This window comes from Homo sapiens, chromosome 3 (assembly GCF_000001405.40).
Source record: "Homo sapiens chromosome 3, GRCh38.p14 Primary Assembly".
Lineage (NCBI taxonomy): Eukaryota > Metazoa > Chordata > Mammalia > Primates > Hominidae > Homo > Homo sapiens.
In genome coordinates this window covers 38,507,911-38,526,550 of record NC_000003.12, presented here as the reverse complement: position 1 = coordinate 38,526,550, position 18,640 = coordinate 38,507,911, and the positions used below count along the sequence as shown (strand labels likewise).

The following is an 18,640-nucleotide window of genomic DNA, read 5'->3' as shown; positions in this document are numbered from 1 at the left end:
ACAGAGCTGCCCACTCACACTCCTGGAGAAACACCCAGGCCACACCATCACCTCTCCATTGAGGAGAAAAAATTGAACAGATTGTTTGGTCACAGTGACATTTTGGCTCTACATCCCCGAGAAGAGGAGAACTGGTACAAGCTAATGGGGAACAGTGTGACAAAACAGAATGGTACTAATCAGGCTACTGTGTTCTGACCCCTCAACTTTCCTTTTTTACCCAAATAAAAGAGCAGAACAATGTCAATCATTATCATCTTATCTTTATCTGAAAGCCTTGGCATTTCTCTTAGAACAAACACACCACAAAAATCTTTCTTGTAATACCACTCGGAAAAGACAGCAGTGGTATGTATGACAGATTCAGACAAGTTCTTATGCCCCAAGACGTTTTACTGACAATACTCAGGATAGTCCATGAAAGGACTCCGTGTAAACCCAAATCAAGAGATCTGGCTCAGAAAAACAGCCACAATTTCCCCTAGGAATGCTAAATGCCTTTGGACCTTTGGCCTACTATGCTAGGTAGACAAGCAGGCACACAGGAAGCAAATAATAAGCTAGTGATTTTGTGGGCAGACCTTTTTCTTTTTTCTTTTCTTTTTTTGAGACAGGGTCTCCCTCTGTGGCCCAGGCTGGCGTCCAGTGGCATGACCATGTCCCATCGCAGCCTTGACCTGCCAGGCTCAAGCAATCCTCCCATTTCAGCCTCCCGAGTAGCTGGGACTACAGGTGTGCACCACCACGCCCAGCTAATTTTTGTATTTTTTTGTAAAGATAGGGTTTCATTATGTTGCCCAGGCTGGTCTCAAACTCCTGGGCTCAAGCGATCCACCCACCTCGATTTCCCAAAGTGCTGAGATTATAGGCCTGAGCCACCATGCCTGGCTGCAGATCCTTCATAGGTTTCTTAATCTTAAGAACAAAAAGCTCACCTGGAAAGCAAGAACACATCAATTTGGCAGTATCTGGTCACTAAAAGAACTGTATCTCTGGAGGCAAGCATGGGCTCTAATAAACCCCACAAAGTATTGCCGTCTAATTCCCAAATATTCCTGACTGTCTCTTTCCACAGAGCTAAGGAGGGTTCAATTCAAAGAACATTAAAGTCCCTTTGGCTTGCATAGCAGACGAGAAACCAGACTCTTCTTGCCAAGCATGCCTCAGGCCCACAAATACCCATGGAAATAGGTATATATTTCTGAGTAAAAAGCCACCATCCATGTCAGAAAAGATTTGAATCTACCTCAGCTGTCTTTCTTCTCTTAGATCTGTCTGCCTCATACTTTGTGGATGACTACTTTGGAAAAGTGAAACTCAGGTAAGACACTAAGCTCTCTAAGCCTCAATTTTCTCACAGGTAAAATGGGGATAGTGTATTTACCTCAGAGAGTCATTGTGAGACAACACATGTAAAGCACTGAGCCTAGTATATAGAACACATTTAATGAGCAGAAACTAGTTGCTGAGTGCTTCTACGTAGACAGAAGTAGAGAAACGAGCAGATTCATGAGAGGAGAAAAAAGAAACAAATATATAGTGCATGTGGACAGGAACTACACAGAGGATTTCTAAAAGCTGCCTCCAAGACCAATTCAGGTCCTAGAGGGAAAAATGTACAACATTGAGTTCTGAGAAGGCTGGGCAGATACATCACAGACAATGCATGGTTTGGAGGCATGAAACTAAACAAATGCCTTCCCAATACTCTACATCCACAGGGATACAAATGCAGTGTCATCTGTGGGCAGTCTTCCTGTTAACTTGACACAAGATCAGCCCTCCATCTGCAGGTGTCAAAGCTCCCTTAATAATTAGTTCCTGAGTCAAATATAATACTGACAAAAACATTGTAGATCTTTCATCTTTTGGGGGAATTTTTAGTCATAAATTTAGGATTCCACTGTTTCTTTAAAGCAAAGCCACTAGTAGCTGAGGGTGATGGTGTGTGCCTGTAGTCCCAGCTGCTCAGGGGGCAGAGGCAGGAGGATTGCTTAAGCCCAGAAGTTTGAGGCTATAGTGAGCTATGATTCCACCACTGCACTCCAGCCTGGATGACACGGCGAGACCACATCTCTTAAAGAGAAAAACTTTTTAAAAAGCAAAAAGCAAAGCCACTAAAATATGTTAGCCTAAAGAGGGCATGCCTGCTTCATTACAGACGGTATGACACATCTTGAGATAAAAACTAGGATGGCTTTCTTATCTGGGTTCCTGACTGCTCCTTAGCTTTGAGTTCTTCTAGCTTCTTCTCATAGCGACTCATAAAGTAATCATCTGGTTCAATCTCTGCATTCTTCAAGTTTTCCATGATCTTTTCCAGTCTGAGCACTGATCGGGCTCCTTCAATCTTTCTTGTACTCAAGTACAAGGTGAACTCCTGGAAATCCAGGAGCTTACAGGTGTCCACAGAGCAGATATTCCGGATATCACTAGTTCTATCCAAATGAGGAAAAAACACCAGTCCTGACAACTTCTCTAGGTCCTGGAGGCTCACTTGGAATTCAGTTAACTGGGGCTGGAAGCCGATGGCTTCATTGGGTACCACAAAGGCCCCTAGCGCCAGTGGTTCGGTAGATACTGAGCTTCTGCGGGCCAGGATTACCTTATAAAGGTGTGAGGGGACTGCCACGTTGTCCTCGCCAATCACCTAAAAACAAAGCAGCCATATTAGTGATGCCAATTTGTGCTAACAGTTCGCAAATTTTTTCTGAAAAATACTTATTTAATGCATTGCTGAAATGTACTTATAAGCCATCCCACTCTGTTCTAATGAATTTAAATTCAACTGCCAAAAATAATAAACTGACTCAGAGATTCACATACAAGAAGAGTATTTAACAGGTCAATTCTGATCACATTCTTTAAAATAATATAACCCCAGGTGAGGCACGGTGGCTCATACCTGTAATCCCAGCACTTTGGGACGCCAAGGCGGGCAGATCACTTGAGGTCAGGAGTTCAAGACCAGCCTGGCCAACATGGTGAAACCCCATCTCTACTAAAAAAAAATACAAAAATTAGCTGGGTGTGGTGGCAGGCGCCTGTAATCCCAGCTACTTGGGAGGCTGAAGCAGAAGAATTGCTTGAACCCAGGAGGCAGAGGGTGCAGTGAGCCGAGATTGCACCACTGCACTCCAGCCTGGCCGACAGAGCAAGACTCCACCTCAAAAAATAAAAATAAAATAATGCCAACCCAAAGATCAGGGGTCACAGTCTCTGTTCTGTTTGTAGGACAAAGGACAAAGGAATGCCATGAGTGAGTCCTGGTTTTTTAATAGACAAGAAAAGCTGTCATTTTCTCTTCATCTCATAATCAGAACTTCTGGTGCTCCAAACATTCAAAGGTCAAAACTGCAGGCTTGGGTACTCCCAGCTCTAGAAATAAAAACATGGCCTTAGTTTATGAAATTCACTAGGGAACTAAACAGATAGCCCTTAGAGAAGCAGCCAGGTGTCAAGTCAACATTACCATCTCCAGGATCACTTCAATTAGGGCTAATTTTTAAAATTAAATTACATAAATGTAAATGCTGTTTGCTCTGAGTTTTGCACATCCTTGGGCTTGTGATCAAAGAACTTCTAAATATGTTGTCATATCAAACATTTTGGAAAGGTATCCACACAATGAAGAAGCCAGAGCCAGGGTCAGGCCTAGAAAACATAAATTAGTTGTGTGGTTTGGCTGAAATTAATGAAATAACATTATTACTAAACCTTTTCAAATTTCCTTCCAATTGGCATCTGGGCCAGGTGTGGTGGCTCATGCCTGTAATCCCAGCACTTTGGGAGGCCAAGGCAGGCAGATCTCCTGAGGTTGGGAGTTTGAGACCAGCCTGACCAACATGGAGAAACCCCATCTCTACTAAAAATACAAAATTAGCTGGGCGTGGTGGCGCATGCCTGTAATCCCTGCTACTCGGGAGGCTGAGGCAAAAGAATCACTTGAACCCGGGAGGTGGAGGTTGCAGTTAGCCGAGATTGTGACACTACACTCCAGCCTGGGCAACAAGAGCGAAACTCCATCTCAAAACAAAACAAAACAAAACAAAAAGGCTTTTTTGAAAAAGAAAATACTCAACATCTATTTACTTAATGGTCCCCAATAACTGACATAATCCAACTAAAACATGCTCATTGGTATTACTGCCCCTCCCGGGCCCTTCCCTGGTAAGAGTCAGTTTTCTTTCCTGATCAGACAGCTCTGCCTGCAGCAAGATTCCTTCTTGTGAGCCCAAATAAGACAGAGACACGACAGCTACAAAGGAGGTTTCTTTTCTGCTTTTTTCAAGCTCCTACCTACATGGCACACAGCCTGGGAACTCCATGGCCATCTGCTGTCTGTCACACATGAAGGTCCCACTGCCAAGACCAATTGCAGAGCTTCAGGGAAGACCCGTGCACGGGAATGATTTCCATAACCAACTGTCTTCGAAGTTACTGAAAGTGGTTGGTCGGGGTGTGGTGTAAAGTCTATGAAACTATGTACTACAAACATAAAATCCCCATTTCACCCCAAAAATTCATTTATGCAGCTGGGAAGATAAACATACTCTTCAAAGCCAAAAATATACTGAGGGAGAACCCTATGGAAGTCCACAATTAACTCACAAATAACCAAAAGATGTTAATTCAACAATGCAACTCAGAGGTCCTGTGCCTGGCATTGCTGGAAATACAGAAAAGAATATGCTTTAAAGTATATGCAGCTGGTGCCTCCACTCAAGAAACTTACCACCTAGAGTGGGAACCAAGACCTTCAGCTTTCACTACAGGTAGAATGTGGTTAGGTACCAATACAAAGCCCAAATAACAGCACGAAGGGGATTCAGGGGAAGCTGGGGACCAGAACTGAGGGCACAGATGCAGCTGAGCCATAGTTTGCAAAGAGGGAGAAGGTGAAAGGGGCTTCAAGTATTCCAGGTGCTAGCTAGGAATCCAGCAGTTAAACAAAGTCTTTGCGCCACCTTGTGGACATTCCCCATCACTGCAGTACAGTTCAAGAACATTCACTTGATTTTCTCTCCTCATGGACTCCTTGTCTACAAACAAACGGCAATTTTCAAATATAATTAACATGCCCATTGCTGCCATGCAGAGCTAATCAGGCTCGTAAAATTCCAGCCAAAAGTAAAGACGTTGGACATTTTCAGTTCTACAGCTTTACTTTATGCAAATGTACCATTTCTATAGGTGTTTAAAAACTCTTACAATTGCTAAAGGACCTCGATTCTACTTTTGAGAAACCTCATGGAAACAGAAATTCCTATTAGGAATCACAGGTGTGATCCTTCTACCCATGACCTTCTCACACTATTTCAAGGGGGTAAAATACTATCCCTAGAACTAAGGAGAAAAATAAAAACTTAGCCACTCACTAATCTCTTTTCTGATTCAGTCTGCTTTGTTCTTAGGAAGCAAACATCTTTAATCTGTCTAATATAGGGACAGGTCCTAGTTGGGTATTCAGAAAAACACACCGTTTCTTCCTTGAATTTAAGACAATTTTTTAAAACAACATCAATCGTAAAATATTTTAGAGCTGTCTCTTTAAAGACAACTCAATCTACATAATAAATTTTTCCTACTTTTGGAAAAATTGGGAGACTTCCAGAAATGTTTCTAAACACTACTAGAGGTTTGGTGGACTGGAAGCCCAGAGACCTGGTCAAACCTGGCTTTGCCACTAAGCTGCAAGTCGCGTCCACCCATTTCTTGTTTCTTCATTTACAAAATACGTAACAGCCATCCCCGTGGGTGGATTGCTATTTTGTATTTTATAAATGCCTCTCTCATAGAATTGTTATGAAGATACAATGACATGTTAGTTAAAAATTTTTCAAAATCTACAAGATCTATGTAAAAAGCTATTTTGTAGTGGACATCATTCAAAAGATACAACGGCATTTGGTACAAAAGATGGTTTTACAGAGGGATGGGGGCGGGGGAAACGTATAATCAAGCAAGATTAGACTAGTTACAGGTCAGCAATGGGGTTTCAGGAGGAGAAAGCAACTTGGGCACAAATGATGTCTGTAACAAAGGACTCAAAGGCTTAACATAAACCAAGTCTAGTTAATCAGTGAGTCAGCAAACAACCCTTTTCATGTAAGATTTAGGTATAAAAATATTTTGCAAAGGAAACCCTTGCTGCTATTAAATTCCCAAGAAGCACTGAACTCTACTCAAGACTGTAGCAAAAATTGGAAGTCAACTGGGAGTTAACTAGAAAATACAATACATAAGCTGGCACTCATTCGCAACCTGAAGCTAGTTTTCTTATATACTGGCCTGAGCTTGTTTCCTTCCATCCAAGAGACAGAAATGACAATTTGCCACCACCACCTGTGCCACCCAGACCCAGAAGAGACCCAAAACAAACAATACCCATATTAAGCCTGCCATTTGTAAGGTCATACATACTGTAAATGTGCCTCCAATAAAATATTAAGCAGCATCAAGAGGAAAAAATATGTACCTGCTAGAATTAGATAGATATATTTGGTTACATTCCCCTGGTAAGACAAAAAAAGAAACTCCAAAAATAAAACTAGAGGGACAGATCAAGAGACCACGCCCTTAAAAAGTCATGCCGATCAAGTGAAAGAAAGAAACCATGGGAGTTTGATAAACAGGAAATCCGAACCTGAGGGGGGGAAGGAACATGAAAAGTGAGGGAGTCACAAAGTGTGGTAAAGTCAACAAGAATGTGGTCGCCCCCTGTGTTATCTATAGAGCCTCAGCAGATGCTTTTGTGGCAGCACAAACCCTGGAAGACGGTACTTCTCACACTGGGGTACCTGTTCCAGGCCAAAGGGTAGCAGCCTACTAAGTCACAGTAAAACAAGCACCCTCTTTCTAGGCTGTCAATGGTACTTGAAAATTTAGGGTGAGGGTAGGGAGACAACCAGTAAAATAATTTAACTTTCATTAAAACAAATAGATATGGAAATGAACAAAAGCTTTCCCTAAATATAAAGCAAGAGACTTAAAAAAAAATATTACTCCCATATCACTTCAAATGATGTCTCAAGACTCCTGAGGGCATTTTCAATTTCCTCCCCTTTAGGGTTAGTATAATGGAAGTTTGCAAAGTGCTGTTATAAAAGAACACAGATTGTTAAATATTTCTAACATTACCACCATCACTGAGTTCTAAAATCTGAAGCTCACTTTCTTGTCAGACCATTTATAATGTCCAAACCAGAATCTTCAGGTATGTTTCACTTGTCTGGAATCAACCTCTTCTTGAAACAGGAACATCAGAGAAAGCACAGGGATGACCTCAGCTATATAATAAAGGGGGTGATTCTGATTAGAACTGTCAGATGACTCACTTCTGATAAAATCACTGCTACGAATCTTCCCTTAGGCTCATATTCACTCAAGTTCTATGATGATGTGATCCTTTCCTACATATTCTAACAGACATTTCTGCCTGGCTATAAGGAATCCTCCTCTTGGCCCATTTTCTGTTATTTTTGCATGCTAGCAAGTATCACTTGTAACTCCTCTCTCCATCCACACCATCTTTTATTATCTGCTAACCTTAAGCTTTTGTATATGAACAGCACAGCAATTCATTTACTATAAACTTGAGCGCTTCAAAGAGTAACACTGTGAATGACTGGCAATTGTCAGACAGACCCATGTTTGGATACCCTCTTTGACAATTATAAGCTATATGCCTGAGACTTGATCCTTAAAGCCTTGATTTTCTTGTCTATAAAAGAAAATGGTCACTACTTTTTTTGTAAGGGTGTAGTGAAGATTGAATGAGATGCATATATAAAGCTACTTACATACTGCCTGGTATACCTGGCCCTCAAGAAATGCCAGTTCATTTGCTTTACTTCCCCCAAAGTAAAAACACATATATGCTTCATTGCCTGGACAGAAAACTAAATAAACCCTTTTATTGGGTACAACTTCCTAAAATAAGGTTCAGAGTATAGTTGTAAGCAAGCAGTAAATATTAAATGGCTAGATCTGAGAAAACAAAACACTTTCCAAGCACTCTGAATTGCCGTACGTAATTGCAAGACATTGCCTTGAAAGTGGGAATTCATGATTCAAATTATTCGTTGCTTGAGAGAAACAGACCAGTCTCCAGCACTGGGCAATGCTGTGTCCCCTTTCCCAGAATAATTAAAGGACATCATTTTATCTATATTTGTTTTATAATTAATTGCCTACTTTTCAAAGGCCCTGCTTGCTAGAAAATTATCTTGAAGTTCTTGCCTAAACTTTTTAGCTGGTCATTTGAAGTTTCTGCCACCAGGCCCCAAACTTTCCTTTTATTTTTGTCTCCTTCCCTACATGAACGCTCTAACTTAACTGTTTTCTCAGCATATATCCTATCGCTTCTCATCTCTTCACCTTGCCTAGGTAGACCTCCCACATCTCTATTTCTTAACCAAATTCTCCCAAGTTTATAGATACATGTGTGTGTGCATATATATAAAAATTTGGGCCCAATTAAATTCTTGGCAAGAATTTCAAGATAATTTTTCAAATTTATTTTACTAACAAACTATATTTTGCTTTCATCTAACAGATACACCAAAGATTTTTAGGTTTAAAATTCTACCTGAAATAAAGTTTGACTTGAAATATAATGCCAAAACTAATAAAAGCAGTATTATTATGGAGATATTTGTTAGTGAAAAACATAAATATATAAAAGTAGATGTCAGTTTGATATGCTTCTGAGAAAACTGAAAAACCATATGCTCCTCCAGAAATATGGATTCGTGAAGTCAATATTCAACTTTACATATACATACACAATGTACAAACACAGTGAACTGCTTTCCTAATGACCAGTGTCTGTCAATCCCTGTTTTGAAATACAAGAACACAGAAAGCAGAGGAGAAAGGCCTTCTCAACAGTGAGCCACTAAAGGCAATGGAATCCATATACTACGAGCTTTGGGGCTCTCTCCATCCACTACAAAAGGCTAAAAATAAATGTGGTGAACACACCTGACAAACCAAACAGCAGAGCAAGCACTCAAGAATCAATCTGAATTGCTGTCCAGATCTTGGTTTCTAAACATCAATCCCCACTAAAAGGATCCAGTGCTCCTTGGAGAAATGGCCGATGGCCAAGATGAACATGGAACATAGCCTTATACCAGAAAGTAGGAAATGCTAAAAAATGATGAGGATGCATCAAAAGGACACAGGAGACACTGGAAGGAGCTCCCACTGGCTAAATCTGGGGCAATTTGAGCATCAAAATGAACAATCACAGTAAACATTAAAACTCTTTGAATAAAAATAAATCTGTGAGTCTACATTGATAACAAGGAAAAGCTCTAACAGTGGAATGTCAACTAATAAATTAAGGAGTAAGAATTAGAAAGTCATCATTTAGCAACTAACATAGTAATAACTAATTCAGGCAGGAAATATCAATGGATGCTAAAACTATTGAGTGAAAGTTCGAAGACGAAAAAGATGCTTACATCGCCTCAAAGTATTTCCACAGATTACTTATAAATTCCAAAGGGGGAAATGGTGAAAAAACCTGGTAGACACCACCTTAACCAAGTAAAGTTAAAATCATCAATAATCAGACAAACTGATATTATGCACCTCCTGATGCAATGCACTGAGAAGGACACAAGATCACTGCTCCTACATTCTGCCAAAAACATAATGAATCATGAGCAAACAACAGACAAACCCAAAGGAGGGACATACTGTAAAACAACTGGCCCGTACTATTCAAAAATATCAAAGTCATTCAAGACAAAAGGCTGAGTCAGAAGCTAGTTCAGATTAAAGGAGACTACAGAGACATGACAACTAAATGCAATGCTCAATCCTGGTTGGATACTGAATCAGAAAAAAAAAACAGTATAAAGGATAGTATTGGGTAATTTGTAAAATTTCAATATGGACTAAATATTAGGTAGTATTTCTATATGTTTTTTCACGAATTTGATAATTATTCTGTGGTTACATGACAGAATGCTTAGGAGGAAAGGAACAAGATATCTGCAACTAACTCAAATGGTTCAGAAAACAAAAACAGGTGTATGCCTATCTATATGGGGGAGCATAAATGTGGCAAAATGTTAACAACCAGTAAATCTAGGTGAAAGATACAGGGAAGTTCTTTTTATTGTTCTTATAACCTTTCTATAAATTTGAAATTATTTCCAAATAAAACATTAAGAAATATTAACCTGCTAAAAGCAAAGACAAAAACAAATTAACCTGCTTTGCAAAACACTAATAAATATAGATTAAAGTAGGGTTTCCAGTTAAAAAAGGCAAATTGAACACGGGTTTTTGGTCCTCTCCTCTGCAAATTAAAAGGAAAATACATATATATATATATGGATATCCATATATATATTCCACATAAATATATGGAATGGCAGTAAAAAGGTATAAAAGTGCTGAAAAATGACAGAGTACTGCATTACTGGACTAAGAACTACCGTGAACTTCTGGAAGATGAAAGATGGATGTGATGACATTGTTAAGATAAAATATACAGGAAAAAGCCAAAGCTGATATTAATATTTTTACCACCCCTTAAGTAGTACTCTAGCAAATAAAGGGTATCAAAATCAAAGTGTGTGACTGAAAAAAATTCATCTGCAGAATTATCCTACAACTCACAAAAGTAGCAGGCCTTTGTTTTGCCTTCATATGAGGCTAGAAAAATACTCTCTAAAAGAATGGGTCTCTTTTTCTACAGCCCATGCCCTTCCTAGAGCTAGACACGAACTTGCCTGCCAACCAAGTGCCTGCAGGGTTGGAGAAATGGCTCTGCGCCACAGCCTCCATCCTGGGCAAACCCAAGGATGGGAGCATGGGCCAGGGAGCACAGAACAAGGGCAGCATGTGAACATGATGGGTGTAGCGGGCCTGACCATGGTGCTGAGTAGGTCCACTGAGCCCTGGGCGCAGCTGTTCATCTCCTCCACCAGCATGATGGACACCACTGAGGAGAACCGCAGCCACAGCACCCACTTCTTCGAGTTCCTCACCGAGGAGCTGGCCCTGGGCCAGGACCAGATAATTTTCCACTTTTCCCCCCTGGAGCCCTGGCAGACTGGCAAGAAGGGGATGGTCATAACTTTTTAGTGACTGGCCTCGAGGGATCCAGGGCATCTGTGAGCTGGCTGCCCCTTCCAGAGAGTCCTCCTGGCAGAGCACCTGGTGTTACCAGCTTTGGGTAATTCCTCATGAGACATTCCCGTGACCTCATAATCCTCTTCTTCTCCATCCTCAAGTCAAATAAAGGGATCATCCTCATTAAAATAAAATAAAATGGTGGTATACATAAAACTACTCTAGAGAACTTGTCATACATAAAGATTCCTGAGCGCATCTTCAGAGTTTTAGGACATTTTCAGACATGCAAGGACTCGGAAAGGTTATCATCCATTGACTCTTCCAGAAAAAATTTGAGGATATACTCTACCAAAGCAAAAAAAAGTTATCTATAAAAAAGGGTAGCCAGGTGCAGTGACTCATGCCTGTAATCCCAGCACTTTGGGAGGCTAAGGCAGGCGGATCACTTGCAGTCAGGAGTTCAAGACCAGCCTGGCCAACATGGTGAAACCCTGTCTCTACTAAAAATATAAAAAATTAGCCAAATGTGGTGGCAGGTGCCTGTAATACCAGCTATTCAGGAGGCTGAGGCAGAAGAATTGCTTGAACCTGGGAGGTGGAGGCTGCGGTGAGCCAAGATCGCACCACTGCACTCCAGCCTGGGGGACACCGTAAAACTCCGTCTCAAAAAAAAAAGCAGGGGGAGGGGGGGGAGGGTGGAAAAGAGGGATTTAAGATAATATTTAAGGGGAAAGAGGAATTTAAGGACCCAAGCTAGGAGTATAATAAGGAGAAACAGAAGGACAGATATATAGATGACTTAAAACTAAAAAAGCTTACTGGGATTGCAAACAGTCAGTTCTCAACTCATCATTCCCTCCTTTAAATGATTTCTTCACTTAGCTTCTGGAACATCACTCTCCCCTAGATTTCTCCTACCTTAAAGGCTGCTCCTCTGACTCTTTCGCTGGATCTTCTTCTTCCTGACCGCTAATGTCCAAGTGCTCCAGGGTTCAGAATTCAATTGATTGTTCTCTCCTGTCTATATTCACTTATATAATCTCATCATAGCTTTCAACATCATCAGTGTGCTGACCACTTCCAAGCACATCTTAAATCATACCACTTCTCACCATTTCTACCACCACCATCCTATTCAAGTTATTATTTCTCATGTAGACAATTCCATTAGTCTCTTAACTGGCCTTCCAGGTTCCACACTTTCTTCTGTTCTTCACAAGAAGCCAGTGTGTGCTTTAAAAATGTAAACCAGATTATGCTACTAACCTGATCAAAACACTGTTTAAGTGTCCCATCTCACTTAATACAATCCACATTTCCTGCCATTGCCTCCCTCTATAATTTACCTTCTTCTCCTCCTCATGCTTACGCTGCTCTAGTCACACTGAGCAGAGCACTGCTCCTTGAATGTGCCAACCTCAGTTTCACCCGTGTCTTGCACTCGCTCTAGCCGAAAAACTGTTCATATGGCTTGCTCCCTCACTTCACTTAGGCTTCTGCCCTATCTCACTTCCCCTTGTCTTTCTTTCCCACCCTAATACAATCCTCTACCGTGCTTTATATTTCTACGAGGCATTTTACTTACTAGGTATCTCCTCCACTATAATGCATGCTCCATGAGGGTACTCTTTTCTGCCTTGTTTAATGCTGTATCAGAAGCACCCAGAACAGCACCAGGTACCTAGTAAAAGCTTAGTTAAGTCTCTGTTGAATAAAAGGAAGGAAAGAAGAAAGGGAATGAAGGAGAAAGGGAAGGAGGGAGGAAACAAGTAATCCAAATTAAAACAGAAAGTCAGAGGGCTCCAAGAATATATTTTCACGAAAAAACTAATTTACCTTTTTAAAAAATCATATGATAATATGCTTAAATGACCTAAATTATCTGAATTAGAAAGTATTTTTAAAAAGAGCAATTATAATACACTGCCACCCTTACCTTCCACTTCTGTTTTTCCGTTGTTTGTGGTAATATTTCTCTCTCAAGTGGCACAGATTTAATGATATAGAATTATATCTATTTCCTTATAGGTCCAAACATACTACATACACACTTATAATAATATAAATGCTGGTTAAATATTTTCTAATAGATCTTGGATTACAAACTCAAAGACCAACAAGGGCTAGACAGGAAATGTAAGTGAGTAAAATGGGGCAGGTAAAGACTACAGTGATTTGAAGATGTGTGTTCAATCTAAGGAGAAGGTTGATACTCTTGTCTAGTAAACTGGCTGCCTATGGGAGTATATGCCAATTGTTACGGAGTCATCTGATTTAAGAGAAGCTAAAATCTGGATTTATGTGAAATCTCCCAATTATTAAACATTATAAACTAATTAAAAAATAACATACAGTCAGGTGTGGTGGCTCACGCCTTTAATTCCAGCCCTTTGAGGGGTGGAGGTGGGAGGACTACTTGAGGCCAGGAATTTAAGGCCAGCTGGGGCAACATAGTGAGACCCCCACCTCTACAAAAAAGAAACTTAAAAATTAGCTGGGCATGGTGGTGCATGCCTGTAGTCGTAGCTACTTGGTAGGCTGAAGTGGGAAGATCTCGAAAGCCCAGAAGATAAAGGTTACAGTGAGCTACGATCTTGTCACTGCACTCCAGCCTAGCAGACAGAGCAAGACCCTATCTCTATGAAAAACTTAAAAATATATATATATATACCATGTGAGCCAAATAAAATACCTCTATGGGCTGGACTTGCCATAAGAGGCCTCAGTTTACAAACTCTGCTACAGGCAAAACTCAGACTACATTATCGTTAGCAAACATAAATGTAAATGCTACAAACCTTGACAAGTATAAATGGTAGATCAAGATTAGAGGTTCAAGTATATTATGTAAAGTATATGATGCAAAGTTTACCAACGGAAGAACTAAAATTAAGTATATATGACTAGCAGAGTATAGTGCAGTGCAAGAAATAAACAATAAATTTCATAATTTTATAGAGATAAAGTAACTGTTAATAAGCGACAGGTCACAAGTTAAAAATATATTTTAGTGCTCATTATTCTGAGATATAGAAATAAGTGCCAAAACAAATAAAAACTGGACAGTGGGATAAGGAGTATAAGTGAGACTTTACCTTTTCATGCTGCTTTGTACTGTTTGAATTTCATTACAATGTCATATATTTCCACAATCATGTTTTAAGATTTAGCATTTTTATCATTATGCACATATAATTGCATAATTTAAAAATTTTTCAAGTTTAATTTCAAGGAAAGATAGTTTGCCAGTTATGACTTTAATGCCATGAGCGAAAAAAAAGCATCAAGACTAAACCGTGTTTAATGTAAGTATCTAATTTCACAACTCCTAACATAACATGAACTCATGAACTCAAAAGCATCGACTTAGAAGACTACAAAAATTGTGCTTTAAAATTAATAAAGAGGCACCTGACTTTTGGGCTTCTGTAGATAAGAAAGGAGAAGTAAAAAAGAATCTTAGAAATCATAGGTTTATGAGTACATGCACCAAAGAATACAAAAAACACTGGTCTTCATTCTTATGTTAGCCTCCAAAGGAGTAATAGTAGCTAATATTTACTGAACATTTCCTATGTGCTAACTACCAAGCTAACGATGATACTAGCAACTCGGTGAGGTAAACACTACTACTATCCAAATATCACAGATAAAACTGAACTTTAAAGAAGTTAGGTCATTTTCCCAGGACCACATGCAAGTAAGTATCAAAGCAAAGATCCAAGGCCAGATCTGACATGAAATATGTGCTTTTAACAACTATAACCACCCTGCCTTTCCTACTATTGCAAGATAAAGGGATAAGCTCCAAGTTAAACACCAGAAATTTCTCCTGTGGTCTACTACCGGTAGGTCTGAACTTCCTTACTAATTCTAGTACCCTGTCCCATGCTTTGATAAGAGGAGACATGTCAAATTAACATCCTTTATAATTTGGTCCAAATTTCACTTTATCTTGCAGATATTATTTGAAAAATTCCTTGATACAGGACTGTGAACATTCCCTAATTTCAGTATAAATGAAGTTTCCTTTTCTGTTCTTTTAATGTTATTCCTTTTTTTATGGTTCCGAGGATTAGGAAAGTAACAACGTATACTTTCTCTGTCATGGTTTCTGTACTCCAGATAGACTGGTAGCCAACGCAATTGGAGGCAGAGAAACCCATTAGAGGCCTCTGCAATACTGCAGGTGTTCAGAGCTTCGGTATGTCTAAGTAAAAGTTATTTTAAAAAAAGAGAATTAATAAAAGTTGTTGGTTCAAAGTAATTAAGAGTGAGAGATGACTGCCAGGATGTGAAATACAGGAGAGGAAGAAAGTAATCAAGAATATAAGTTTGGAGCATGCCATTTACAATTCTGTATACCTTCCTCCCACATGACAGGTACTTGAAAATTTGCTGAACGGATGACTTACTGAATTAAAGATTTGCCAGTGTGAACATGCATAGGTCCTATAAATTAATAAGAGACATGGAAAACTAATGATATGACCTTAGAAGCCCAGAATCTGAAAGAGAATACCTAAGACCAGCAAGTCTTTAAAATAAAAACAAGAAACAAGACTATTACTCAAAGTATACTCTTCAGGAAGCTGATCTTGACTGACCTCACATGACTGATCATTATGACACTAACTAGGGTGAGGAGAGCTGATAGGTCTCTTTTGAAACTCTTTAAGGCTAGCTTGAACATGTTTGAGTATCATTTCACTGATAAACTATTTTAATATATCTTTTAATATTTTATTTAAATATCTATATAATATTTAATATATAATTTTAAAATTCTGAATTAATTAAAAGCTTAGCATTTGTAAGAACAGCACAAAGAACTCCTTCCTTTATATCCTTCACTCAGATTTACCAATTGTTAACATTTTGTTCTATTTGCTTTATCACTCTCTTCTCTTTTCCCTAAACTTTTTAAAAGTCACAGGCACACCATTTTACTCCTAAACACTTCAGGATATGACTTCCTAAGAGCAAAGATATTTACTTACATATCACAGAACAATTTTAAAAATCAGGAAATTTAATACTGAAAATACACAATTATCTAATTTGTATATTAGATAACAGACCTCGAATGTTGCCAATTCTCCCAATAACATCCTTTTTAGCAACTTTTTTCTGGTCTAGGATCTAATCTAAGATCATACTACACATTTTGTTTGCATGACTCTTTAATCTATTAATCTGGAACAGATAGTTTCTCAGCCTTTGTCTTTTATGACACTAACACTTTTGTAAAGTAGAAGTCAGCTGTTTCACAGAATGTCTCTCAATTGGGGTATGCCTGATATTTTATCCTGCTCAGTGCATCACACCAGGAGTACAGCGTTTCACTAAGTCCCATTACTAGCAATACTAAACTTGATCACTTGGGTAATGGGATGTTTCTTCACTGTAAAGTTATTTCTTACTTTGTGATTAATAAATAATGTATGAGGAGATACTTTTAGATTATGTAAATACCCTATTCCTCATAAAACATTCACTCACTAGTTTTAGCTAGTGATGACTCTTGCCTGAATCAATTATGGTGATGTGTGCAAAATGATTTGTATAACTCTTTCATTCTCGCAAATTTATTAACTGACATTCTATGGTATGCAGAAGCTTTTCTTTACACCCTATGTATTTACATATTTATTGAGTATGTATTCTTATTTAATTCAATAGGTTTATAATCCATTTTATTTTGATATTCAATAGCACCAGATACAGTAAGTGGGAGCTCCTTCAAGCTGATTCACATGTCCTTCTGACATATCCCCACCATTTGTCTGAGCACTTCCTTGGCTTTCTGATATATGATGTTCCATTTTGTACTCTCCCTGTACCACCCCTTAAATCAGTCATTTCTCTAAGCGCTGAGTCTTTTCAGGAGATGCTTTTTAGAAACAAATATCTGGGTCTCAAGATGTGTTCATTGCTAATGACATACCAATTCTTCTGGGCCTTTTCAGCAGAAACAACTAGAAGATATATTTTTATCAGTTCTATTTTTAAAAATTATATCCAACTTAAGAAAAACAATACATTTTCCACTACGGCATTTGGGCAACACATATTTTACAGAAATAGCCACACAAAAATCTATGTAGTGAAATGCTTGTAATTATTGGTTAATTTTTCGTTTTAAACATTGTACAAATTTTTGTTCTACTACACAGTAGGCTAGTGATATAAATTTTTCAATTTTATAAAAACAAAGCACAAATAAAACTGTAATTTAACCATTTAAGATATACAAGTCAAAGCTAGAAGAGCCTCTTTTCTGACATAAAATAAACAGGATTTAACAAAGACCAAGAATAATTAATATTTGAAAAATAATACAGGGGGCTTTAAGCCTTTTTTTCTCCTAAGACTATAAAATATACTAAAATTAAATTAGCAAGTTAATCAGAGGAGAGAAATTAATATGGGAGGAGAGATATTAAATGAATTAATTTTAAAATACTAATTCCTTTGACTTCCTTCACTCCCATATCTACTGGAATTTTCCAAGGATGTACAAATCCTTGAAAACAACTACTCTATCATTTCCACTTAACAAAAAGAAGTAGTTGGGTCATAATTTTGTGTGGAAAAAGAGAAAGTGGGCTATTCATATGGACCTATACAAATCCTTGGATGCTTGGACATTACTGCACATCTGATCTAGACAGGCTGATAATAAGCAAGTCAAATGGACAGAATATACTCTAAAAGTTTTGGTTTTTTTTTGGGGGGGGGGTGGTTCCTCAATCTGTTCCTCAGGTTATTAAATTTTATCACAGACTTAAGTAATCATTTACCTAACCAGCATTTATTAAATATCTACTTTATTTCCAGAGCTGAGCTAGGTGTTCCCTCCCCTCCTCTTTGGCCTTATTAGCAAGTCCTTCAGTGCTTCTTTTTACTCACTCTACCACCTCTTCTGCTTCACTCCACCTGTTCCCTGCCCTCTGTAAGCCTCACAGTATAGTATAACATTTCAGCCACCCTCTTGGAAGAATCCTCAGGATATTTCTGCATGATAAGATTAAATGTTAAACTTTTTCTAAGAACACCTGCTCTTCAGGTATACCACTTTGTAAATTGCCAATATGAAAGGCTAGCTAAGAATTTCCCAGCAACATTAGATGTCTGAAGCTCTCACACCACTAATTACACTCTCCTATCTTTAATCTCTCTTTCAGTCTATAAAAGTGCTCACATATCTTGCATATTAAAAAAAAGAAGCTTCTAGAAGAAAAGCTTTTCTTCCCATTTATTCAACTCACTGTAACACTGTAATCTGGTTGTTTTTATTTTATTTTTATTTTTATTTTTTTCGAGGTGGAGTCTTGCTCTGTCGCCCAGGCTGGAGTGCAGTGGTGCGATCTCGGCTCAGTGCAACCTCCGCCTCCTGGGTTCAAGCGATTCTTCTGCCTCAGACTCCCAAGTAGCTGGGACTACAGGCACACGCCACCACACCCAGATAATTTTTGTATTTTTAGCAGAGACGGGGTTTCACCATATTGGCCAGGCTGGTCTCGAACTCCTGACCTCGTGA

The 18,640-nt window shown here is 38.8% G+C and overlaps 1 protein-coding gene and 1 pseudogene across 24 annotated transcripts in view; one reads left to right on the top strand and one right to left on the bottom strand.

The window, feature by feature from the left end:
• Positions 1 to 247: 247 nt before the first annotated feature.
• EXOG (exo/endonuclease G) overlaps positions 248 to 18,640 on the bottom strand; it is a 29,964-nt gene continuing 11,571 nt past the window's right edge. For 19 of the 24 annotated variants that reach the window (NR_153330.2, NR_153326.2, NR_153329.2 and 16 more), the window contains one exon: positions 248 to 2,650. Coding sequence is in view for 11 of the 24 variants with exons in the window: in XM_047449374.1 (XP_047305330.1) it covers positions 2,189 to 2,650 (462 nt within the window). In the remaining 13 variants the exon portion in view is untranslated. Of the gene's footprint in view, positions 2,651 to 2,905; positions 3,379 to 7,173; positions 7,290 to 12,682; positions 12,802 to 18,640 lie in introns of all 24 variants that reach the window. The other 5 variants (XR_940530.4, NR_134938.2, XR_940529.4 and 2 more) reach the window with 5 other exon arrangements.
• Positions 10,721 to 11,106, top strand: DDTP1 (DDT pseudogene 1; annotated as a pseudogene).